We start from the raw sequence: 22232 nt of genomic DNA, 5'->3' as shown, positions 1-22232 counted from the left end.
GACTGCTGTCTTTAACCAAGAGAAAGGGTCAAAAGGCACCTCGATGACCATCTGTCAAAACAGAAATACCCTACCCCTAAGTTACAGCATCAGAGGAAAAGGGTGGGCCAGTGGTTCTGACTTCAGTGTGCATCAGCATCACCTGGAAGGCTGGTTAAAACAGAATGCCGGGCTTCGCTTTCTGAATTTCTTCTTCAGTTGGTCTGGGATGCGGCCTAAGCTGTCATTGTTCTAACACATTCCCGGGTGACGCTGATGCTGCTAGTCTAGACACTGGTGTAATGTTTACCACCTACCCCTTCACATTTCTTTCTGTGCATCATATTGCCCAAGGGACAGACATTCCCTTGAAAATATATTACTTCATGTGTACACGTTGTACTTTTACTCCCAAGATCTCAAAGCCCTTTCATATCTATAACCTCCATTTGCTCTCAGGAATTCCCATTTGGTTAGCAGAAAAGAGAGAGGTCAAGGGCCTTAACTAATGCCATTGTTGAGTCCCCAGGCTTCCCATCTTCCAGTTCAGGGGTCCCTCCCAAGAACACACAGTCTCCCTGCCCAGGGCCTTGTGATGCCGTGAGCTGTCTATACCTCTAAGCCTGACTGCTGTGACTCTACACCATCCAGGATACCAGCAAGGAGCTGAGGGAGCAGGTGGGCCTCCAGGACACAAGTGTGGGGAGACCTCAACTAATGACTCTGAACACTGAGGTAGCAGAGAAAGGTATACGTATGTCAAAGGAAATCCTTGGTAATCAATGCAATTGCTTTTTTTTGGACAAGTTGGTTTTTGGAGTTTTGAGGCTTACTTAGCACACTGTAGACACCAAATAAAGACCTAAACTAAACTAAAGTTCTTGAATTAAAGGTAATGGTTTGTGGAAAATATCCCTAAGGATATTGGCTAAAATCTTATTGCTATTTAACTGATAAGCTATTGCAAAAACAGAATACTGAAGTTAAGAAAACAGGATAGTTTGACAAGGGGAGACTTGCGGGCATGACTGTAAATTCCTTGAGAGTGATTTTCTGGTCCTTTAGTGGTAGCTTAACAAATGTTTATAGAATTGAATGGGGCACAGGATCCAGTGAGGAGCACTGACCAGGTGGCTCCCATGCTGGGTATTTCTGCATTTAGGGTGGAAAGCCTGGTAGAGTCTAGGTGAGGGGTAAAGAGAAGTTTGTTTGCTTTTTCAGTTAGCTACTGGAGGGGACAAAAAGCATAACACAGGCTTTCTGGCAGCAGAAAACCACAGGCTATGTCAGCAAGTAAAACAGAGGTAACCAAAAAAACTGTCGACAGAGCAGATATTTTTATAGCTTAACATGAGGCTGCAGGGCTGGGACCTAGGAGACAATGAATGGATCACATATCCTATGGTGTGTCCGTTAAGCACCATATGGAATACCACTGTGGACTTGCGGCACCCGGAAAGAACAGGAAGGCCAAGGCCGAGTCCTTCAACTTGGAAATAAAAAAACTGAGGCTAGAGAGATCAGTGCAGCTATGATTTGCAGGGGTTTTCTTTAGCAACCCACCTCCTTGAACCAGATTATGGGCTGTGGATACGGGTATGCAAGTAGATTATGACAGGGACACCACAATGACACTAAGGCTGATTCCATCAGCACCCAGCACCCACTGGGTGCTGATCAACTCAGAGATCAACAAATTCTGAGTACCCACTGCCAGGCACTGAGTGAGTACTGGTCATGAGAAACAGGCAAAGCCACTGCAGTTTCTCCTTCCACTGAGGGAGATGGAAAACGAAAAGTATAGCTGTGGCCCTTTTGTTACTGAACTGAAATTCCAGAAATACCTCCATTCTCTGTAGACAGGAAAGAGAGGACAATTATTACCCCTTTTACATAGCTGTGGTAGTCCTAAAGCTTGTGACCTGACCTTTCAGCTCTCCTTAAAGAAACATGTAGAAACAAGTAGATGCTATGCATTCAGCATTTCAAGACAGGATATAAATACTCCACGAAAGAACACGCTATCTCAGAATTCCCCAGTGAAAACTGAAAAAACAAGGTAGACAGAAAAGCTTCCAAAACATGGTCTCATACCATGTGGAAATCTAGGGCTGTTAGGAAGAGAAATATTTCTTATGCTTAAAACCTCAGAGAAACACTTCATTGTACCTTAACATTAATGGGGAAAGTGAAGATACCCTCACAAACTCAGCCTAATGGGTTCCTTCCCTGATCCTCCACCCCCCAAAACTTCACTTTCAAAACAGGCTTATCTCTTTCTTCAAGTTCAGGCCGTCAGGGAATAAATGAATGCACACCGTTAACTTCTAATATAAGCAAACACCTAGAAAGGGTCCTGGTAGTCCCGGTGCAAAGCCTTTGAAGGAAAGTAACCCCCTCTGCACAGATCTCTCCTTCCTGGCTTAAAACTTGATGGACAATTTTGCAGCTGATTTCTAACCCTTGGAAATAAAGCTATTCAGACCACTGCTCCTCAGCCAACCAGGCCCTGTCTCGTCGGCTAGCAGGCTCCCACTGTACATATTGCTGTATGTGCCCAACATGTGAAGCCGCCGTGGGCAGCTGTAGAAGCCACATGTCACTGTCTGCAAAAAGGAGGGGCCGACCAAAAGAGCCTTGGAAACTCTTTCACTCCCCTTCTGCTCTACCTTACCAAGCCCTCTCTCAGAAAGCCATTGTGTAGGCTGAAGAGGGAAATAAAAGAAGGGCAGACTTTTTCCATGCCTCCCTGCAGACTACAAGGTAATGTAAAAGAACAGTAGCTACCCCCCAACGGCTCTGCTGAAGTGCAGGCCTCAGGGGGCCCCACCAACACTGGCTTCTCACTCCGGATTTGTACCGGGCAGTATTGTCTAATAATGAGCTGAGCTCAATTGCTTACCATATATTTTGCAGCATAACTAATCCCTTATATTTGTGCCTTTCACCCACATGTCTTTTTTGTTTGCTTGAAGGGAAGAAAAAAACCTCACCTTTGAAGCAACCTAAACCTCTCAGCCATTTACCTCCTCCATGGTAGACAAAGCTCTGACCAAGCACCACAGATGTACACTTGCCTTTCTGGTGTTAGCACTTCTTGAGTTATCTAGAGGCCAATGGTTGAAAGGTGAGGACAGTGATGCTATCAGGCAGCTTATCCTCACCTCAGTGCTTAGCCAGCTAAATGTTTGCAGTAAATCTTAATATTCATGCTTACTGGTCCCTTAGCTTTGTCAGCTAGGCATCTGCTCTGGTAAAGCACAACTTTTTCTCAGCCTGTTTAAGGTTGGCAAAAGGTGGCTGAGCTAGAGATCACTGTTCTTCCACCCCGGGATTGCTTCCCGACTAAGATGGATTCTGCCGCCCTTCGCTAATCAATTCATTCAAGCCATCAGGCACTGAGAACAGCAGGGCAATTGCTTTTTCCTCCTCAACCTATTCATCACCATCCATCCATCACACCTCAGACCACTTACTCTTCCAACCTCTACTCCGTCCCCACGAAGCACAGTAAGAGAAATGATCAACTTACACAGGCTTAGGCAGAGTTCTTAGGATGTATTTTTGTTCACCTGAAAAATAAAACTTTTTAAAAATATACAGGACTTTTTGAGTACAGGTATATCTTAAATGGCTGAATTATAAATAATGTCTCTGGTCATGTTCACAGCTAGGGCTGGAGCAAATGTCCCAATTCCAGTGAAGGCTTTGGAGAGTCAGGAGGCCAGCAGCTGGACCTATGAGTGGCCTCTCTAGACTCTCTGATCCATCCCAAAGAGGATTTAAACAGTCCAGAAAGCAGGGATCAGGAAGAGGACAGGGAAGTGGACTCCCAGATGTTCTACAAGTTCAAAGGATTCTTGGAATAAGAGATCAATTTACAAATTATTAAAATATAGGACTAAAAATTCACACAGTAAATATAAATTACAGGCTATTATTGAAGTTGTAAAGTGGCATTTTATGTTTCTTCCCCATCTCACACCAAAAATGTAAAGGCCTCATAGGCTTCCCAATGACTGAAGTCCTAGTCAGCTGCTAAGAAATCTGCTCTAGCCAAGAGACCCTGGAGGTGTTACCAGCCTGCTGGTAGGCTGTGACAGCTCAGTTGCTATTATCGTGCCCACAACAGGACATGGCTTAAAGCAAGGCTGTTGTCCTGTAAACTTGGATCAGAGCTAACTAGAGTATAGGCCAGAAAACTGGAGAGACAAACTGTTTCAGGACTCAGGTGGGTAAGTTGTCTTTTAAAAAAAAAAATAGTGCCTCATTTCCCAAAATGGAAACACTAAGGGATTTGATATCTCATCACTACCCACACTCAATTGCCTAAAAGCAAATGGCAGAAGGAAATGGAATCCAAATTGAGGAAGTCTAGTTCTTGCTACCCCAGAGCTACATGTATGTCATTTCTCTTGATGTTTCTCATCTCCTTTATACAATTACAGGCTGCATTTAAGTAGGGCTTATCGGGAAAAGTAAAGACAGCCAATTCAACCTTCCCTCGGCTGGTCTATTAGCTGGTTCTCAAAGCACAATCCTGAGTGTGAAGCCCACCTTCCAGCCTTTCTGATTCTGTAGAATAACTCAAAACCAGAGGATGTGTAATCAAAGCTCTGGTGTTACAACAGATTTCATCCCAAATCGCCGGGCTTTGTCACTACAGGCTCAGGAAAGAGGGAAGGCAAAAGTGATTGCCGGAACAAGACAACATTTTGAGGAGCAGGAAAAAAAAAAAGATAAAAACACTTGCCACTCTACTTACAAAAGCTTGCTCTTCCTAAAAGAATTCTGTGAGGGGAAGGCCAGGATTGAAGCACAGCAGCATTGCTCTTTCCCTTCCTTCCTCCCTGGCCCATATCCAGATACTGAGGGCTGCAACAAGAAGCCTCTTTGGTGGGGGCACTAGGATGGAAAGAAGAGGGGATGAGTACATTCCCCACCCTCCCTAAATTGTTTCTACTTCTCCTAAGGCTTTCCACAGCCATGTCAACAGTCTAAGAATGATTATACTCTTTTGTGAAAGAACGTCATAAACTTATATTTCAGAAACAGGAGGGGAACAGGAGAAAGTGAGTGATTTAAGAAGCCGTGTTTGTGCCCTTCTGGCCAGGTGTACTTTTTGGGGGACAGCAAATAGCCCTTGCTTGACCCCTTCAGTCAGTAGCTACCCAGGGTGTGGGAGGATATACATAGAATTCTATGTGATTATAGCTTCTAGTGCATATGTCAACAACTATATACAGGGATCTAGAAATTTAATGCATCTCTGGCCACTGCAACTAGGTTGACGTACCTGAGCTCCACTACTTTTGGTGCCCTCCTCCTTTCGAGAGCTTCAGCTTACTTAAAAAGAGCCCCTACAGCTCCATCCTTCCCCTGAGTCTTGGGGGAAAGCCCCAGTCACCCCTGCATGTAGGATACACCAGAGCGAGCGGCGCAGAAGGGTTTGGTGCCGGGATCTCCCCACCCCTCCCCCCATCCCCCTACGGCTCAGGGCCCTGGTGCAGCACGGTCCTGGGCAGCAAACCCCCAGCCCCCCGGCGAATCGTGGTCCCTTGGCTGAAGATCTGGCTGCGGGCCTCCCGCTCCGGGGCCAGCCGGCGATGGTGGGAGTGTGAGGGGCGTTCACTCTCGTGGGGGTCACTCCCGCGGGCTCTCCACCCCATCCTGCTGCGAAGTCCTGCCTCTGGGCTTGGGGAGAATGGTTCCCGGCGGCCCCCAGCGCGGAGGGCTTCAACGACTCCCGGGCGCCGCCGCCGTTTCCTCTTCGTCCTCGTCCGGCCCCCGAGGCCGCTCGAGCGGCCCGGCCGGGGGGCTGTCCGCAGGGGGCTCCGGAGGCGCCGGTCGCGCCGCCTGCAGTGGGGGAACGTCGCGCGGCGCCTCGCGGCGGGACGACCCAGTGGTGTTGGGCCCCGCCGCCGCCGCCCCCGAAGTCCCAGACGGGCCAGTGGCGTTGGAGCCGCCGGGGGGCGGGCCAGCGGCTCCCCCCGAGGTCCCGGCGCCCACCGGCTGCCAGATGAGGCTGTAGTAGACGGCGAGCACGATGGCGGCCAGCGACACGGAGAGCACGTAGGCGAACACGGTGGCGAGCCGGACCCACTTCTTGTTGGTCTTGGCCGCCATCTTCGCCTTCTTGTCCCCGGTGTAGGTGGCCGGCTTGCCCCGCTCGGCCGGGGCCGCGTCGCGCTCCTTCATGGGGGGGCCCCGGCCTTTGCCCCGGTGCTCCACGGCCCCGGCTGGAGGGGGCCTGGCGGCCTGCAAGGACTGGGCAGGGGGCGGCCCGGCGCCCTCGGTTCCCGGCGGCCCCGCGCTCCGCCGCCGCTCCTCACGCCGCCCGCCCGCAGCCCGCCACCGCGTTGCTGCAGCCGCCGCCGGGGCCTGGACCAGTCACCGCCGCCAGCGCCGCCGCCGCCGCCGGCCCGTCAGCTGCTTCCCCGCCGCCGCCACAGCCACAGCCGCCACAGCCGCCACAGCCGCCCGGCTCCGCGTCCCCATCCGCCGCCACGCCGCCGCGCGCTCCGCCGCCGCCTGCCCGGCCGCCGGCCGCCTGGTCTCCAGTGGCCGCGCGGACCGCGCGCTCCGCTCCAGCCCGGCTCCCCCGCCTCGCGCGCCGGCAACAGGGGGCGGGGAGAGCGCTGCTGGGGGCTGCCCCTTAAAAGGGCGACGCCGGGGTCCGGAAGTGCCGCGAGGGGAGGCGGCGGCTGCCGGGAGCCGCGAGCCCCGCCGGGACGCCCCGTTAAGAGAGAGTTAAGGGAGGCTGGCTCTTAAACGGGCGACGTCACCGCGACCCCTGGTGGGCTGGCGCGGCGTAGAGTGGAGCCCCGGGCACTTCTTTAAAAGGGGGAACGGCGTTGTGCGAGGCGGAGTGCGGAGCTAGAAGGGGGCGGTCGGAGCGCGAGCTGTCAACTCTGGCGCCTCCCCGCTCCGCCCCGAGGCTCCGAAGTGACAGGTGGAATAGCAGCCTGGGCTTCGGACTCCAGGCCTAGGTTTATCCTCTGGGAGGGGACGGTAAGAGGGATAGGGAAGATACCACGTTCCAGCTCTCAGCTTGCTCCCCGCACCGCGTACCCCCTGGGTGGGTCTCCCAGGCCCATTCACAGCTAAAGAACCTGGTTGACGCCAGGGGTAGGCGGTTCTGGCACCTGGAGCGCTCACTGGGGCCGCAGCTGGTTGTGTTCCTTCCACCCAGTCCAGGCTGGGCTTCGGAGCTCTACTGAAGTCGTCGCAATTGCGTACCCCAGCCCGCCTCACCCCGCCAACCCTGAGCCTCCGGGACAGAGCCACGGACTGAGCTGTTCTCCAGACTCGCTTGCCACCTTAGTCCCAAAGTTCGCCGCAGGTCGCTGGTCCCGCTTTTTGGGTCTTCCAATTCCTGGTTTTGGCCTGGATTTGGACCCAAGGAGCTGCACTGAACCTGAGGAGTTTAACTCTCAGGACTCCTAGAGCGTTTTCACTCTCAGATCCCCTCCAGACCTCAAGGCTTGGGCGGTTGTCCCCTCCCCACTTTCCCATGTGAGGTTTGTCTTCTTTGGCTCCAGGCCAGGCGCCAGGCAGTGGGCTCTGTGCCTGGTCTTTGGACCCCCTAGGTGCTAACAACCCTTCATGCTCAGACTCTCCCTTGCGGCTTTACTTGTGCCCTCCCCCTCCTTCCGCTCTCTGCTCTCCCTGCCTTCTCTCCTCCCCATTCCCTCTCTATAAGGCTTTCCAGAATTCTGGTTCCCTCCTCCTTGGATGCTACTTCCTGTGTTCCCAGAACTGGGCATATGGACTGCCTGGGTGTCTGAATGAGTGAGGGAGACTTGTCTGGGCGTGTGTTGGGGAACAGAACTGTGGTTCTGATGGGGTTCTGTGGGTGAACCCTCCCTCAAGCCCCTGCAAGTGTGAGCCTGACCTGGCTTCTACCCTGTGGGGCAGGATCCCCTCTGCCCTTCTCACTTCCCCCCCTCCTCCAGGAATCTTTGGCTTCCAGAGGACCCCCCTTACACACACACACACACACACACACACACACACACACACACACGAGGAAGCCCTCCCAAAACAGCTGCCTTGCCCACCTCAGCAGCACAGAAGTCAAGTGGCTACCAGAACTGAGTGTGCTAGTGGACTGCTGGAACCACAGGCCTCTAACCCAGCCTCAGTCTCATTCCTGATCCAGGCCCAGGTGTGGGGCTGCCACTAGTAATGGCTAGCCAGATGCTATTTCAAGGAAAAAGCTGTTTTTTTTACTTTCTGAGAAATTTCAAGGATATTGGTAGTGTGGAGTGTTTATGGCCTTTTGTGGGTTGATGGGGAAGAAATAACTCACTCCTCCACCCTGCTCCTAGGTCAGCCAGGGCAGCCTGTTGACTTAAAATTCCTGAATTGTCGCCGGGTGCGGTGGCTCACGCCTATAATCCCAGCTTTGGGAGGCCGAGGCGGGCGGATCACGAGGTCAGGAGATTGAGACCATCCTGGCTAACATGGTGAAACCCCGTCTCTACTAAAAATACAAAAAAATTAGCAGGGCGTGTTGGCAGGTGCCTGTAGTCCCAGCTACTCGTAGTCCCAGCTACTCGGGAGGCTGAGGCAGGAGAATGGCGTGAACCCGGGAGGCGGAGCTTGCAGTGAGCCAAGATGGCGCCACTGCACTCCAGCCTGGGCAACAGAGCCAGACTCCGTCTCAAAAAAAAAAAAAAAAACAATTCTTGAATTGTCTCTGGAAGTTGTCCTCTCTTCTCTCCCCTGCTCTAGGGCCTTCCTGGCAGGACATATCATACAATTATTCCATGATGAATTATTCTTAAAGATTCCAGGTTGAGGCCAATACAAAGCTTCCTTCAGTCCCCTTTCGTGAATGCACTCCATATTGCTTCTCCATATTTCTGTTGCAAATTAAATGCCTTTCTTCTTGCTTGGTTCTTAGTGGAGTGGGAAAACAGCATGTCACTCTTCTGTACCAAAGAATAATATACTTGAAGCCTTTATTCAATTCCTCTCACTCTGTCTTTTCTAAACGAAACAGTGCCAGATTCTTTAACCTGTCATCAGTAATCCCTATTTATTGTCTGGATTTACATAGTGTCTTTTACCCCAGGAACTAAGAATGCTTTCAGATATAATTGAGCCTGATCTCCCCGGTGCCTGAGCCATTAAGAAACCATTAGTGTTCTCCTGTTGCAGAAAACTAAATGGCCCCCTAGTGGCCTGAAAGTGAATATGCCTCCCCCCACTAAGAACAGGCAGGGATCAGAGAAATCAGAGAATCAAGGCAGCTTGGGGACAGAATGGGCCCCAAAAGTCATCTTTTGTGAATACCCCTGTGGGCCCTAGAGCCTCCTCCACAAAATCCCTGGGGAGCACTCAGCAGCGTCAGCCCAAAGACCATCTGGGATGGTGGCATACCTTACTGTCTGCTCCCTGAGGCAGCCCTTTTTGGCTTTGGAAAGTTCTGACCAATTATGACAATAACAGTGCCCTTAGAATGTGCTAGGCACTATACCAAGCCTTTACATTCCTTGTCTTATTTGTCTCCCAATGACCTATCAGGTAGTACTGTTTATCTTCATTTCATAGATGAAGTCCCTGCCTCAGAAAGGGCCAGGAACTTGCTCAAGGTCACATAGTCCTAATGCCTTGGAATTCAAAAGCCCTGATGGAATTCAGACCTCTGACTCCAGGGCATTAAGCTCTTGATCCTGGTTCTGCTCTGTCTCATAGGCAAAGCTAGACTTTGTCTCTATAGTGGATATTGGGGGTTACTACCCGGGTCAGCCTCAGGAGGGAGGTGCTCATTCTTCCAATTGTCAGGAGTGTTGGCTATGATGGCTCAGCTGCAACTGTCACTGGGACTTGCCTTCTGACACCAAAGGAAGCTGCCTCTCTGTCCTGGCCTACAAGCCCAATACATAGAGCCAGATCACAATAAAGCCCAGTCAGAGATGTGCAGGGGCCCACTAGGGAAGAAGGCTAGACCATGAAGTAGTTGCGGAAGTAGCCAGTATATACTGGCAGGATCCAGGAGCGAATGTATAGGCTAGATCAAGGTGGGGTGTGGTGCCACACATTAAGTTGAACAAGGGATACTTCGTTGTTATAGGAGTATTCTCCTGTGAATCAGGATGTGATATCCTGACAAGGATCCTGGGAGACAGGAGGAAGGCAATGGCCACCAGAGTGTAATGGAAATGCCAGAACTACCACAGCAGAATGTGGAAGAAGGGTTCAAAAGCTCACAGAAATGGGTATATTCTATGTAAGGCCAGAAACCACTTAAGTTCTGCAGGAAGGCCCAGAGGATACTCTAGTTACCAAAGCAACAAGGAACACACTGGTGAGAGCGGTACCAGCATCCCTGAGAAGCTGAGTTTGGACTGTCCTCTGTAAGCCATGCCTGACAGCAAGAGGCCATTCCAGAACTGGCTCCAGATAGCAGTGGGGATGATAGGACCATGAAATCATAGAAGCTAGACAGCACAACTGTTGTAATAAGCAGCAAGTTGGAGTGGCAGTGGGGGCAGTCCTGGCCAGTAGAGGACCATGGTTGAAGATGGTTGATAGCATAGCATCCCTGGAGCAAGCTAGCTAGGCAGCCAGTAACAGTACTGCTCTATCTATACCAGTGATTCTCAAATGTTTTAGTTTCAGGATCCCTTTACACTCTTAAATATTGAGGTCTCTAAGCCTGATGTGGTGGCTCGCACCTATAATCCCAACTACTTGGAAGGCTGAAGCAGAAGGATCACTTGACCCCAGGAGTTCAAGATCAGCCCGGGCAAAATAGTGAGACCTCATCTCTACAAAAAAAAAAGTTGAAAATTAGCTAGGCAGGGTGGCACATGCCTGTAGTCCCAATTACTCGAGAGGCTGAGGCAGGAGGCTCGCTTGACCTCCGGAGTTTGAGACGGCACTAAGCCATGATCATGCTACTGCACTCTAGTCTGGGTGACAGAGTGAGACCTAGTCTCTAAATATATATATATGTATGTATATATGAGAGAGAGAGGTATCTAAAGGGATTTTGTTTATGTGGGTTATAGCTATTTTTATTTGACATATTAGAAATAAGACCAAGGGTTTTGCAAAATATTTATTAATTTGTCTAAAGAATAATAAGCCCCACTACATGTTAACATAGATAATATATATTTTATTTATTTATTTATTTATTTATTTTCCAAGACAGAGTCTCACTCTGTTGCCCAGGCTGGAGTGCAGTGGCATGATCTCGGCTCACTGCAACCTCCGCCTCCCAGGTTCAAGCAGTTCTCCTGCCTCAGCTTCCCGAGTAGCTGGGATTACAGGTGCATGCCACCACACTCGGCTAATTTTTGTATTTTTAGTAGAGACAGGGTTTCACCATGTTGGCCAGGCTGGTCTCGAACTCCTGACCTTGTGATCCACCCGCCTCGGCCTCCCAAAGTGCTGAGATTACAGGCGTGAGCCACTGCACCTGGGCAGATAATATATTTTTATGACAAAAAATAATGAAAAGAGTGGCTTTGCTTTGTAAATTTGCAAATCTCTGGAATGTAGAAGACAACTGGATCCTCATATCCACTTTTTTTTTTTTTTTTTTTTTTTTTTAGACAGGATCTCACTTTGTCACAAGGCTGGAGTGTAAGTGGCGTGATCTCAGTTCACTGCAACCTCCACTTCCCAGGTTCAAGCAATTCTCCCACCTCTGCCTCCCAAGTAGCTTGGGACTTCGGATGCACACCACCATGCCTGGCTAATTTTTGTATTTTTTTGTAGAGACAGGGTTTTGCCATTTTGCCAGACTGGTCTCAAACTCCTGAGCTCAAGTGATCCACCTGCCTTGGCCTCCCAAAATGCTGGGATTACAGGCATGAGCCAACATGCCTGGCATCTCATATCTGCATCTACATTTAATCTGCTGGCAATTTGTTGTTATGGTTAAAATATATGAGGAAAATCCAGCCTCATATAGACATGTAGTTGGAAAAGAGAGGAACATTTTAACAGCCTTTTCAGATAATTGTGGCTGTTTTTCTTTGATGCTACACCAAAACCCAACAAGCAGTATTTTCTTAAATGGTGGTTGAAATGTAGACTATAAAACTATATCAGTGAACTTTTTTTGTGCTCAATTACATTAAAGTCCATTGATCTAACTTGCCCTTTGAATGGCACTTTTACCCATGCATGATTTTATAATATCCCACGTTGATCATTTGGAAAATATTGGTTCACTGAATTAAACATATCTTTGCAATATTGATACATTTCATTATATAATAGAAAAAATCACATTTGATAATATTATAAAAAGTTTAAGTATCAGGAATCTAGGAAGCTCATGATAGTGCATACATGTTTTCTAAAATTCTAGTTTTTACTTGAAAACTCAAATTTTGTAATTGGTAACAAACACTATCAGTTATTTTTTTCTCAAAGTGACAGGCTCACTTGGTTCAAATGTGAGAAAACATCTGCCAAATAGCCAAGTCTGCATAGCCATGGTTTTTCAGTTCTTCTTTCAAGTAAAACTGGTGTTCCATGAAAAGAGCAGCTAATTGAGCTCACGACCCAATCGCAAAAGTACTTTTCCCCAAGAGAACCGTTATACTTCCATATGCAGTAGAGTACTTTCATTTAATCACATGGAATATTAAAAAGACATCTATTTAAGGGTCATAACTTCATACAATTTAACAATTGATATCGTTTTGTTAAAGATATTCTAAAGTAAAACGACTTTTCTCCCTTCCTTTTTTTTTTCTTTTCTTTCCTCTTTCTTTCTGCAATGAACTACTAGTTCAGTTTGGTGTCACTGCCTTGGTTGTTTAAGGTGCCAGAAGTTTTACCCACCATTGCTTTAGCACCATCAGTGCAAACGACAACACAGTTAAAAAGGTAAATAACATGTTAGTATTATTATGAAAGCAATTTTGACCTTGTGAAACCCCTGAAGTGATCTCAGGGACCCCAAGGGGTCTGGAGACCACACACTGAGAATTGCTGAGCTGTACAATTAAAATAAATCAAGGATGAAAGACCAGGAGGTTGATGGCAGCTGCTCCAATAAAAAGTCACAATATCTTGTTTGGTTTCCAGTCCCAATTCAATTTTCAGTTCAGGTTCCCAGGGGAAAGGTTTCTGCAATACTATAGCAATACAGTAATGATTTCCCCACTACTTCCCTAAAGGGAACTATGCCGTTTACCTGGGTAACTGTACACTGGGGATAGTAGAATAGTCAAACGCTTTAAGGTCTGCTGGATGCAGTGTCTGCATTGACATTGATACCTGACTGGGAACTGAATCATCAGCATGGCCCCTGGTAAAGCGGCCTGAGGTAAAATTGTCTACAGGCTCATGAGCTATAGGCAAATGGTTTGACTGGTTGGTTAGAGGGCTAGAAAGAGAAATACTGGAAGACTGGGAACAAGAAGGTCTTGGGAAGAGATATGTGGCTTTATCTATTTGAGTGAGCACCAAGTGTGAGTATCTTTATTTTTTATTTTTTGAGACAGGGTCTTGCTCTGTTGCCCAGGCTGGAGTGCAGTGGTACGATCATGGCTCACTGCAGCCTCGACCTCCGGGGCTCAAGTGATCTCCTACCTCAGACCCTGGAGTAGCTGGTACTACAGGCACACACCACCACACGAGGCTAATTTTTTTTTGTAGAGATAGGTCTCACTATTGAAGATCTTTATATTGCATGTTAATACTCATCAGAGAGCACCTGCCACAGGGGAGACTGCATAATCAAGTAGATAGAATGATGTGGAATTGATGTTAGCTTGCCTCTGTCATTGACCACCCCATGCCAGCACAATGGGCACATGAATAAAGTGGCCATGGTGGCATAGATGGAGGTGACACGTGTCGCATGTGTGTGGTGGCAGGGGTGGCTCAACAGAATGGGCTCCCACTCACCAAGGCCAATTACCTATTGTCACTGCTAAAAGTCCAACCTGCCAGCAACTGATACCAGCCACGCAGTACCAAGCTGGCTACCTTGGACCTGTTCCACTCCAGAAGGGTGAGGGACTCATCTTGACCTGAATTGCCATATATTCTGGATATGGATTTGTCTTTTCTGCTCAAAGGCCACTCTCTGGGGGCTAAAAGAGTGTTTGATTCACTGACGTGGGATCTCACATACCATTGCAGAAGACCAAGAGTCCCACTTTAAGGATAGAATGGGCACATGATCATGGGATCTTTTAGGCCTATTACATACTTCACCATCCAGAAGCTGAATAGAGCTGGTGGAATGATAGAACAGCCTTTAGAAGCACAGCTGAAATACCATGTTAGAGATGATGGGACACCGTGCTCCAGGATGAGGTATGCATCCTAATCAATAACTGTTATATATGGTGCTATGTGTCAACGTGTAGAATAGAGGTTTAGGAAACTAGGGGTAGAAGTAGGAATGACTCCACTTACCATCACTCCCAGTGACCTTTCTGGAGGAATTTGTGGTTCCCATTCCTGCAGTTCCAAGCTCTCCAGGTTCAGAGAATCTGGTTCCCAGAGGGGGAGCACTTCCACCAGGGACAGAACAAGAACCCCATAAACTTAAGTATGGCTGCTTTCTGTTCGTCAGACTCTTTGTGCCAAGAAACCAGCAGGAAAGAAGAGGAGTCACTTCCTGGAAGGGGCAACTGACCCCCATCCTTTGGGAGAGATAGGGCTGCTGTTACATAAGGGGGTCAGGAAAGAATATGTTTGGCACCCAGGTGATCCACTGGGGTGTCTGTTGGTATGCCCAATTTTGGTGGAAGGTGGACACATCAGCAGCATGGTCTGAAGGCCATGGTGATTGGTGATTGGTTACCCCGACAGGCAAGCCACCTACACCAGCAGAGGTGCAAGTTGAAGGTAAAAAGAATCTAGAATGAGTGACAGAGAAGGGGAATGATGAACATCAATTGTGTCACCAAGACTAGTTGCAGTAGTGGGGGCTATAGTTTCTCCATTTAATTCTTGTAAGTTTCCCAGAATCCAGGAGGAGCTATTCCCAGGTAGAGTGAACTTACCACATAAATCAAGTAGGTCTGGGCTATGCCTGGGGGTACTGTCTCGGTTGCTGTGGTGCACCACCCAGATACTGCTTTTAGGACCAAGGAGCTTATCCCTGAAGTTGCCAGAAGTGTTGGCTGCCAATGGCTCACACATGAGTCTCTCCCTTGGCATTTCCTTCAGCTGCTAAAGGGAGCTGTCTTGCTGGACTTCACAACCCTTCCCTAGGGGTCATCTGCCAAGTCAATGTGGAATTCAAAGGTACAGCCCTCTTATCCAAGTTGGGGCTAACTCTACGGGGCCAGCTCAACCCCAGGGCTTCCTGTGGAAGCATTCTGTATTGTGACTGCATTGTTCACCAATTTCTTCCTCTGGCTTGATTCTGATTCTTTCACTAGTTCACAGATGTTATCTCTGAAAGCACCCCCAATAAACTTCCTACAAGAAAATCTCTATCTCGGCATGTTTCCTGAGAAACCTGACCTAAGACAGTCTCCTAAGATTCTAACTTTAAAAAAATATGTACTTAAATTTTTTTTGAGAGAGAGTCTCGCTCTGTCGCACAGGCTGAAGTGCAGTGGCACAATCTTGGGTCACTGCAACCTCCGCCTCCCGGGTTCAAGCAATTCTCCTGACTCAGCCTCCTGAGTAGCTGGGACTACAGGCATGTGCCACTGCGCCTGGCTAATTTTTATATTTTTAGTAGAGATGGGGTTTCACCATGTTGGCCAGGTGGGACTTGAGCTCCTGGCCTCAGATGGTCTGCCCCCCTCAGCCCCCCAAAGTGCTGAGATTACAGGCGTGAGCCACCGCACCTGGCCTAGATTCTAACTTTTGGGACCTCAGAGAACAAGACTCATCCATGTGAAGTTGGGCCTCCTGGCCACCTGTGTCTTCTATAAAGTGGTTCTCTTCAGAGTGTTGCCTGCATCCTGGCTGCTTTCCACCAAATATCCTTCAACTTATGACCTTCCCTGCAACAAAGCAACCTAAACTGAATTCCTCAAGTATTTTGGGTGTGGTCTGTTGTGCTGAGAATGAGAATGGGACTGATTGTTCCTTGGTTCAAAAGCCCTGGATGCATCTTGGAATGAGGGGGGATACTCTTTAGAAACTCAAACTCCTGGCTGGGCGCAGTGACTCATGCCTATAATCCCAACACTTTGGGAGGCCAAGGCACGAGGATTGCTTGAGCCCATGAGCTTGAGACCAGCCTGGGTAGCAGAGTGAAACCTGTCTCTAAAAAAAAATAAAAGAAATGCAAACTCCTCACCTTCCTTTCCCTCTCTCATCTCATCCCAGATCACGATTCAGAGGGTCTTGGTACAGCAAGGAATATGCAGTGTTACCAGAGCTTTGCAGGTGGTTCTGGTGTGATATCAAGATGGAGAACCACAGGGCTCAGTACCCGACTTCAGTTCGGCAGCCTGAGTCTGCCCGTTTTTATTGGCAGCTCTGTCATTTGACTCAGATGGAGCTGGCTGTCAGCGAAAACCCTCAGTTTTATTCACACATGCTTCTGCTAAGCTGCCACTTCCCCACCCTGTCCTTGTACAGTCGGTGTCTTGGCACCAAGCCCAGATCTCTCAGTTAAGCCCTGTTCATTTCACCTTGGGAGGTTTAGGCCAGTGCTCCAATAGGTTAGAATGTTTTTGGATCCTGAGTCTGTCTTCCAACATATTCCTGTCTTCGCTGGCTCCTTGCTATTCGCAAAGTTGAGGGGCTTGTTCTCTGTGGCTTTGCCCAGGTCCTGATAAAAAGGTGGATCAGATGCCAAGTTTGGTGGTACATGCCCATAATCCCAGCTACTGGAGAGGGTGAGGTGGGAGGATTGCTTGAGCCCAGGAGTTCAAGACCAGCCTGGGCAACAGGGTGAGATTACATCGTATATTAAAAAAAAAAAAAAAAAAAAAAACTCTCTCTTGGCATCCTCGTGAAAGTGACATTGTCTTTAAACCCTGCGTGGCAATCCCTGATGCACTGCCGTGATGCCCAGGGAAGACAGGATGACCTGGAAGTCCAACTACTTCAAGATCATCCAGCTTTTGGATGATTATCCAAAATGTTTCATCGTGGGAGCAGCAATGTGGGCTCCAAGCAGACGCAGCAGATCTGCATGTCCCTCTGAGAGAAGGCCGTGGTGCTGATGGACAAGAACACCATGATGCTCACGGCCATCTGAGGGCACCTGGAAAACAACCCAGCTCTGGAGAAACTGCTGCCTCATATCTGGGGGAATGTGGGCTTTGCATTCACCAAGGAGGACCTCACTGAAATCAAGGACATGTTGCTGGCTAGTAAGGTGCCAGCTGCCACCTGTGCTGGTCCCATTGCCCCATGTGAAGTCACTGTGCCAGCCCAGAACACTGGTCTGGGGCCAGAGAAAACCTCCTTTTTCCAGGCTTTAGGAATCACCACTAAAATCTCCAGGGGCACCATTGAAATCCTGAGTGATGTGCAGCTGATCAAGACTGGAGACAAAGTGGGAGCCAACAAAGCCACGCTGCTGAACACGCCGAGCATTTCTCCCTCCTCCTTTGCGCTGGTCATCCAGCAGGCATCTGACAATGGCAGCATCTACAACCCTGAAGTGCTTGACATCACAGAGGAAACTTCCTTCTTGCTTCCTGAAGGTTGTCCGCGATGTTGCCAGTGTCTGTCTGCAGACTGGCTACCCACCTGTTGCATCAGTACCCCATTCTATCATCAGTGGGTACAAATGAGCCCTGGCTCTGTGGAGACTGATTATACCTTCCCACTTGCTGGAAAGGTCAAGGCCTTCTTGGCTGATCCATCTGCATTTGTGGCTATTGCCTCTGTGGCTGTTGCCACCACGGCTGCTCCCGCTGCTGCAGCCCCAGCTAAGGTTGAAGCCAAGGAAGAGGTGGAGGAGCTGGGTGAGGATATGGGATTTGGTCTCTTTGACTAATCATCAAAAAACAACCAACTCAGCCAGCTTTATTTACAAAACAAGGAAATAAAGGCTTAACTTCTAAAAAAAAAAAAAAAGGTTGGACCAGGACAGGAGTAAGAACAGAAGCAATTGATCAATACTGATGACCTTCCCTATATGCAATGCACCGTGCCCACCTAGAGGAGGACATCATATAATTTATTTCTATCACACTTATTAAAACTGGCCCATTTCACAGAGGGATTGACAGAGGCAGAGGAGTGATTGTGCCCAAGAATGTCACACTGGGATGAGAGCTAAGCCTCTCCTGCCACCTACAGCTCTCATCTCTAGGTTTGTTGTCTCTCAGAGGAAAGGCAAGAGAGAAAAGTGACAAGATTGGCCCTTCCAAGTGGAAAGAGATTTTTAGAGCTGGAAGGATTCTTAGAAATGATCAAAAGTTTGACAGATTCAAGGGCTCAGGTAACTTGCTAAGATCACAGAACAAACCTTTGCTCCAGTGGGGACTAAACTCTGGGTTTCTTGAAGATGGACACAGGTAAATTTGATCCAAAATAGCACTTCAAAGAGAAACATACATGGACTGATTGTTTTCCACTTTTTTTTTTTTGAGATGGAGTCTCGTTCTGTCACCCAGGCTGGAGGCAATGGTGTGAACTTGGCTCACTGCAACCTCTGCCTCCCAGTTCCAGCTATTCTCCTGCCTTAGCCACCTGAGTAATTGGGATTACAGGTGTGTGCCACCATGTCTGGCTCATTTTTGTATTTTTGGTAGAGACGGGGTTTCACCATGATGGTCAGGCTGATCTTGAGCTCCTGACTTCGTGACCCACCCGCCTCGGCCTCCCAAAGTGCTGGGATTACAGGCGTGAGCCACCATGCCCAGTTTGTTTTCCACTTCTAAGTCCCAGATGGTTCCTTGTCGGGTTATAGAGGGGCTTGGAATGGGAAGACAAGCAACATCTTCCTCCTGGGCATCTACAGGAAACTTGATTGCCTCTCTCCTCCCTAAGGGATCAGTGTTGGCTACCCAGCCTTGCCCATGCCTCCACTTCTGCTTAGCTCTCAGTACACAGAGGGTGGCTGAAGCTGGGGCCACAGAGGGACACACAGCTGGGCAGCTCAGCACTCTCATCTGTGCCTCATCAGCTGGGGGGCTGTGGTGGCATGAAGCTGGTGGGAGGCTGGCACTTGCCCATGATTGGAGCCCTTGTGCTCATCACTTCATGAGTTCAGGCCGCTTGGGAACAGCTTGCTTCAAGTCCACAGACAGGAGCAACCCTAACTCAGTCTGCCCTGCAAAGGTGGGTACAGCCCCTGATCCACACGAACTGCTGGAAGAAAAATCCAAAGAGAAAGTCAGTGAAGACGTTTGTAGAAAGAACTGTTGAAGAAGGAATAAGAAACTGCCATTTTTCCTGTCAGTGTCTGCTAATAAGTAATAATAAAATAACAATGATAACTCATAATGATAATGATAGTATTATTGAGCTCATGTGTAGGCACTGTATTAAGTACCATTCATTATATTCTTTAATCCTTGCAACATCCCCATGAGGCATTATTATCCCCATTTTACAGGTGAGAAGGCTGAGGCCCAAGAAGGTTAAGTATCACAAGATAAACCAGCTAGTAAGTGGCTGGGTTCCTAGAGTGGTGAGTGTGGCTCCCTTTGCCAGACTGGGAAACAGACACCATAAGAGCCATCTTCCCTCCAAAAGAGGGCCAGCCCTTGACCAAGATGGACAACAGGGTTCCACACTCCTGAAACCCACTGCTTCAACCATCATGGCATCAGATAAGAAACCGACCTAGTCTGATCCTCTTATTTGGCTGGCAGCTGTGGCACCTGAAGGTCTGAGTTCAACTTCTGCCATTAAACTTCTCTGATGAGCAAACTGGGAAACCAATGCATGGGGCTCCCACATAGCACTGGCAAGTGAACAAATGAACTTGGGACATATGTGCTGGGGTCCAGGTCACAAGCATGTCCCTTGTGGGAGGCAACATTTGGTTGAATATAAGTTCTTACCACATTCTATGGCCCAAGGCTCCCACTTGCCAAACTCTCTGGCATAGGTGTTCCCGTGGGTCACAAATGACAGACCCAACCGCAACTTCCAGGACATGCATGCTTTGAGTGCACCCAGCAGGGGGCATCCTTGCCCTTCCACTGCCCACCCTGGAGGGGTGAGACTGGCCCACTGCAGGGTTGCCCTCTACCCAGCTCAGCCCAGGAGCCCAAGGCCACATTTCCCAAACGGGGCATTCATGTAACTACCCTGATTTTCTCTACTATTATTTACATAACATTTTTCTTTGTCAACACAAATTTTCAAACCTAAATGTATTTTTAAAAGCAAAAAGCTCTTTGATGAAGATTTTCCGCTCTCCTGACTGCCTGGATTTTCTGCATTTTTGGAGCTAGCTTTGCAGGAGGTCAGGATGTGAGCAGGAGAGTACAGGCCCCCACTGAAGCTACAGTTGTGGTCCCAAGAACAGTGCAGGCAGTGACATCACTGAGTAAAGATGGGCAAGGCTTTGTTCTGTGGATTCGGAGCTGGAGATGGAAAGGAACAGAGTGAGGAGCCCTGAAATCCTGAAATGAGGAGAGGAGGCTGTCCCTTTCCTCCTCAGGCTGAGGGGGAGGAATGGACTGGTCTCTCCAGGCCCAAAGTGGAGAGGGGGCTGATGGCTACAGGACAGATGAAAGGGAGGGACTTGGGTGCCGGGACCAGGGCAGCCGCAGGTGACAGGTGCAGGGGCTTTGGGAAGGGACAGGGATTTCCCTTGCAAAATCCATTCAAACAGATATCGAGGGAACCTGATCCCAGGGAGGAACCCAGAACAGCATGGGCTGCCAGAGGGGCCCCCAGAAGGGCCCCAGACTGGAGGGAGGGAGAGAGGAGAGATGACGCTAAGGGACTGGGGGAAACGAGGAAGAAGAGTCCTCTGAATTGTTACCATTTCCAGAGGCTTGGTCAGGCCCTGCTCCGGCTCCATCCCCCGGCCCTAGAATTGCTCTTCTGCAGATTATTTCTGTGCTGGGAATTCCCTTAGCTCCAGCCTCCACTGGGCAGTTTATTATCTTAATTCCGCATGAAGAGTGTCCTCCCTCACCCTCCACCCTGCCCTGGACCAGACCTCCAGCCGCGACAATTCTAGGGCCTGGGTGAGGGTCTTACCGTTGTTGGGGGTATGCAAAGCCCCATGGGGGGGTGACCCAGGGCAAAAGGCCAGGCCCCAGAGGGGAAGGAAGTCTTGGGTAGAGCTCCCTGCCTCCCAGGCTGGGCTAAGAAGGGCGATAAGAGGAGCAGATTAGGCAAGAGGAAGTGGGCTGGGCTGAGCTGGACTGGTGCTGAACTCCCTGGGCCTGGGGCAGAGTGTGGGTCAGGCACCTGAGCAGCTGGGGCTGAGCCTGGCCAACCAGAGCAGCCATCCCTCCGCCCCAGCCCCGCTGCAGGCTGGGGTACACAGCAGAGGCGGGCACACGGAGGAGAGAGGAGAGCGCAGTGGAGGCAGGGGCTAGGGCTGCTCAGTGGGGGTCCAGGCCTCAGGCAGTCCCAGAGGCCCAGAGGTGGGAGTCTGGTGAGGTGGGTGAGGGGAGTGATTGCCTTGCCTCATGTGCCCCTCATTTTCTTTCTTTTTTTATTTTTTTCGAGATGGAGTCTTGCTCTGTCGCCCAGGCTGGAGTGCAGTGGCGCCATCTCGGCTCATTGCAAGCTCCGCCTCCTGGGTTCATGCCATTCTCCTGCCTCAGCCTCCCGAGTAGCTGGGACTACAGGCGCCGCTGCCACGCCCAGCTAATTTTTTGCATTTTTAGTAGAGACAGGGTTTCACCGTGTTAGCCAGGATGGTCTCGATCTCCTGACCTCGTGATCCGCCCGCCTCGGCCTCCCAAAGTGCTAGGATTACAGGCGTGAGCCACCGCACCCGCCCGCCCGGCAGGTGCACCTCATTTTCATGGGGGAGGAAGCATTGAGAAAGAGGAGCCGTGTGTTCAGCAAACTTTGCTTATTCAAAACACTCCATTCCAGCTGGGCCCTGTCCCCACCCCACCCCTGCCTCTACGGTGCTCCCAACCTTTGGGGTCAGATGCCCATGCTCTGGACCCTTCCCCTGAGGAGGTCCTTTCTCCTAGTGAGCTCCCTGTGCCTTCCCTCAGTCCAGGCCTGGGCAGCAGTCTCCCCAGCTGGTCTCCATGTCGTCCTTCTCCAGCCCTCCTGGGCCAAATCTGACCAGAGACCACCACAGGGACTGAGAGGCCCTGGCTCCAAGGCGACCCGGCCTCATGACCACGTCTCCGCTGTGAGCAGCGCAGAGAAGGAAGCCCAGAGCAGGAAGTGCTGAGAGGCACAGGGTG

At 49.7% G+C, this 22232-nt stretch overlaps 1 protein-coding gene, 1 long non-coding RNA gene and 1 pseudogene across 4 annotated transcripts, besides 5 other annotated features; 2 read left to right on the top strand and 1 right to left on the bottom strand.

Annotated features, from left to right (window-relative positions):
- Nucleotides 1-3517: 3517 nt before the first annotated feature.
- INAFM2 (InaF motif containing 2) lies at nucleotides 3518-6541 on the bottom strand. 2 transcript variants are annotated; one of them, XM_011521149.4, is made up of 2 exons: nucleotides 4745-6541; nucleotides 3518-3838 (listed from the first exon to the last, which is right to left on the bottom strand). In XM_011521149.4, exon 1 carries the CDS (start codon nucleotides 6175-6177, stop codon nucleotides 5716-5718), a length of 462 nt encoding a protein of 153 aa, XP_011519451.1. In that variant the 5' UTR covers nucleotides 6178-6541; the 3' UTR covers nucleotides 3518-3838; nucleotides 4745-5715. The 2 variants fall into 2 exon arrangements, with proteins under 2 accessions (XP_011519451.1, NP_001288197.1); NM_001301268.2 differs by having other exon boundaries at nucleotides 3518-6541.
- Nucleotides 5834-6063: a silencer, noted in NCBI's record as "silent region_6325". NCBI's record gives its function as "represses an Ori minimal core promoter by ATAC-STARR-seq in GM12878 lymphoblastoid cells {active_cell/tissue: GM12878}" and the evidence as "EXISTENCE:reporter gene assay evidence [ECO:0000049][PMID:35858748]".
- Nucleotides 6074-6153: a silencer, noted in NCBI's record as "silent region_6324". NCBI's record gives its function as "represses an Ori minimal core promoter by ATAC-STARR-seq in GM12878 lymphoblastoid cells {active_cell/tissue: GM12878}" and the evidence as "EXISTENCE:reporter gene assay evidence [ECO:0000049][PMID:35858748]".
- Nucleotides 6484-6853: a silencer, noted in NCBI's record as "silent region_6323". NCBI's record gives its function as "represses an Ori minimal core promoter by ATAC-STARR-seq in GM12878 lymphoblastoid cells {active_cell/tissue: GM12878}" and the evidence as "EXISTENCE:reporter gene assay evidence [ECO:0000049][PMID:35858748]".
- LOC112268152 (uncharacterized) lies at nucleotides 6590-20196 on the top strand. 2 transcript variants are annotated; one of them, XR_002957721.2, is made up of 3 exons: nucleotides 6590-6990; nucleotides 12740-12837; nucleotides 19451-20196. It is a non-coding gene; the product is annotated as an uncharacterized LOC112268152 (long non-coding RNA). The 2 variants fall into 2 exon arrangements; XR_002957722.2 differs by lacking the exon at nucleotides 19451-20196 and adding an exon at nucleotides 13454-13489.
- Nucleotides 8864-9381: an enhancer, noted in NCBI's record as "NANOG hESC enhancer chr15:40613053-40613570 (GRCh37/hg19 assembly coordinates)". NCBI's record gives its function as "activates a minimal SCP1, AML or CMV promoter by ChIP-STARR-seq in naive H9 embryonic stem cells {active_cell/tissue: H9 hESC(naive)}" and the evidence as "EXISTENCE:reporter gene assay evidence [ECO:0000049][PMID:30033119]".
- Nucleotides 16871-17956, top strand: RPLP0P10 (ribosomal protein lateral stalk subunit P0 pseudogene 10; annotated as a pseudogene).
- Nucleotides 19965-20168: a silencer, noted in NCBI's record as "fragment chr15:40602266-40602469 (GRCh37/hg19 assembly coordinates)". NCBI's record gives its function as "represses an EF-1alpha promoter that drives an FKBP-Casp9 reporter gene in an ReSE screen in phorbol 12-myristate 13-acetate-treated (for megakaryocytic differentiation) K562 erythroleukemia cells {active_cell/tissue: K562(+PMA)}" and the evidence as "EXISTENCE:reporter gene assay evidence [ECO:0000049][PMID:32094911]".

The sequence above is a fragment of the Homo sapiens genome, chromosome 15 (genome assembly GCF_000001405.40).
Source record: "Homo sapiens chromosome 15, GRCh38.p14 Primary Assembly".
NCBI classification, from domain to species: domain Eukaryota; kingdom Metazoa; phylum Chordata; class Mammalia; order Primates; family Hominidae; genus Homo; species Homo sapiens.
This window is presented reverse-complemented; position numbering and strand designations above follow the sequence as displayed.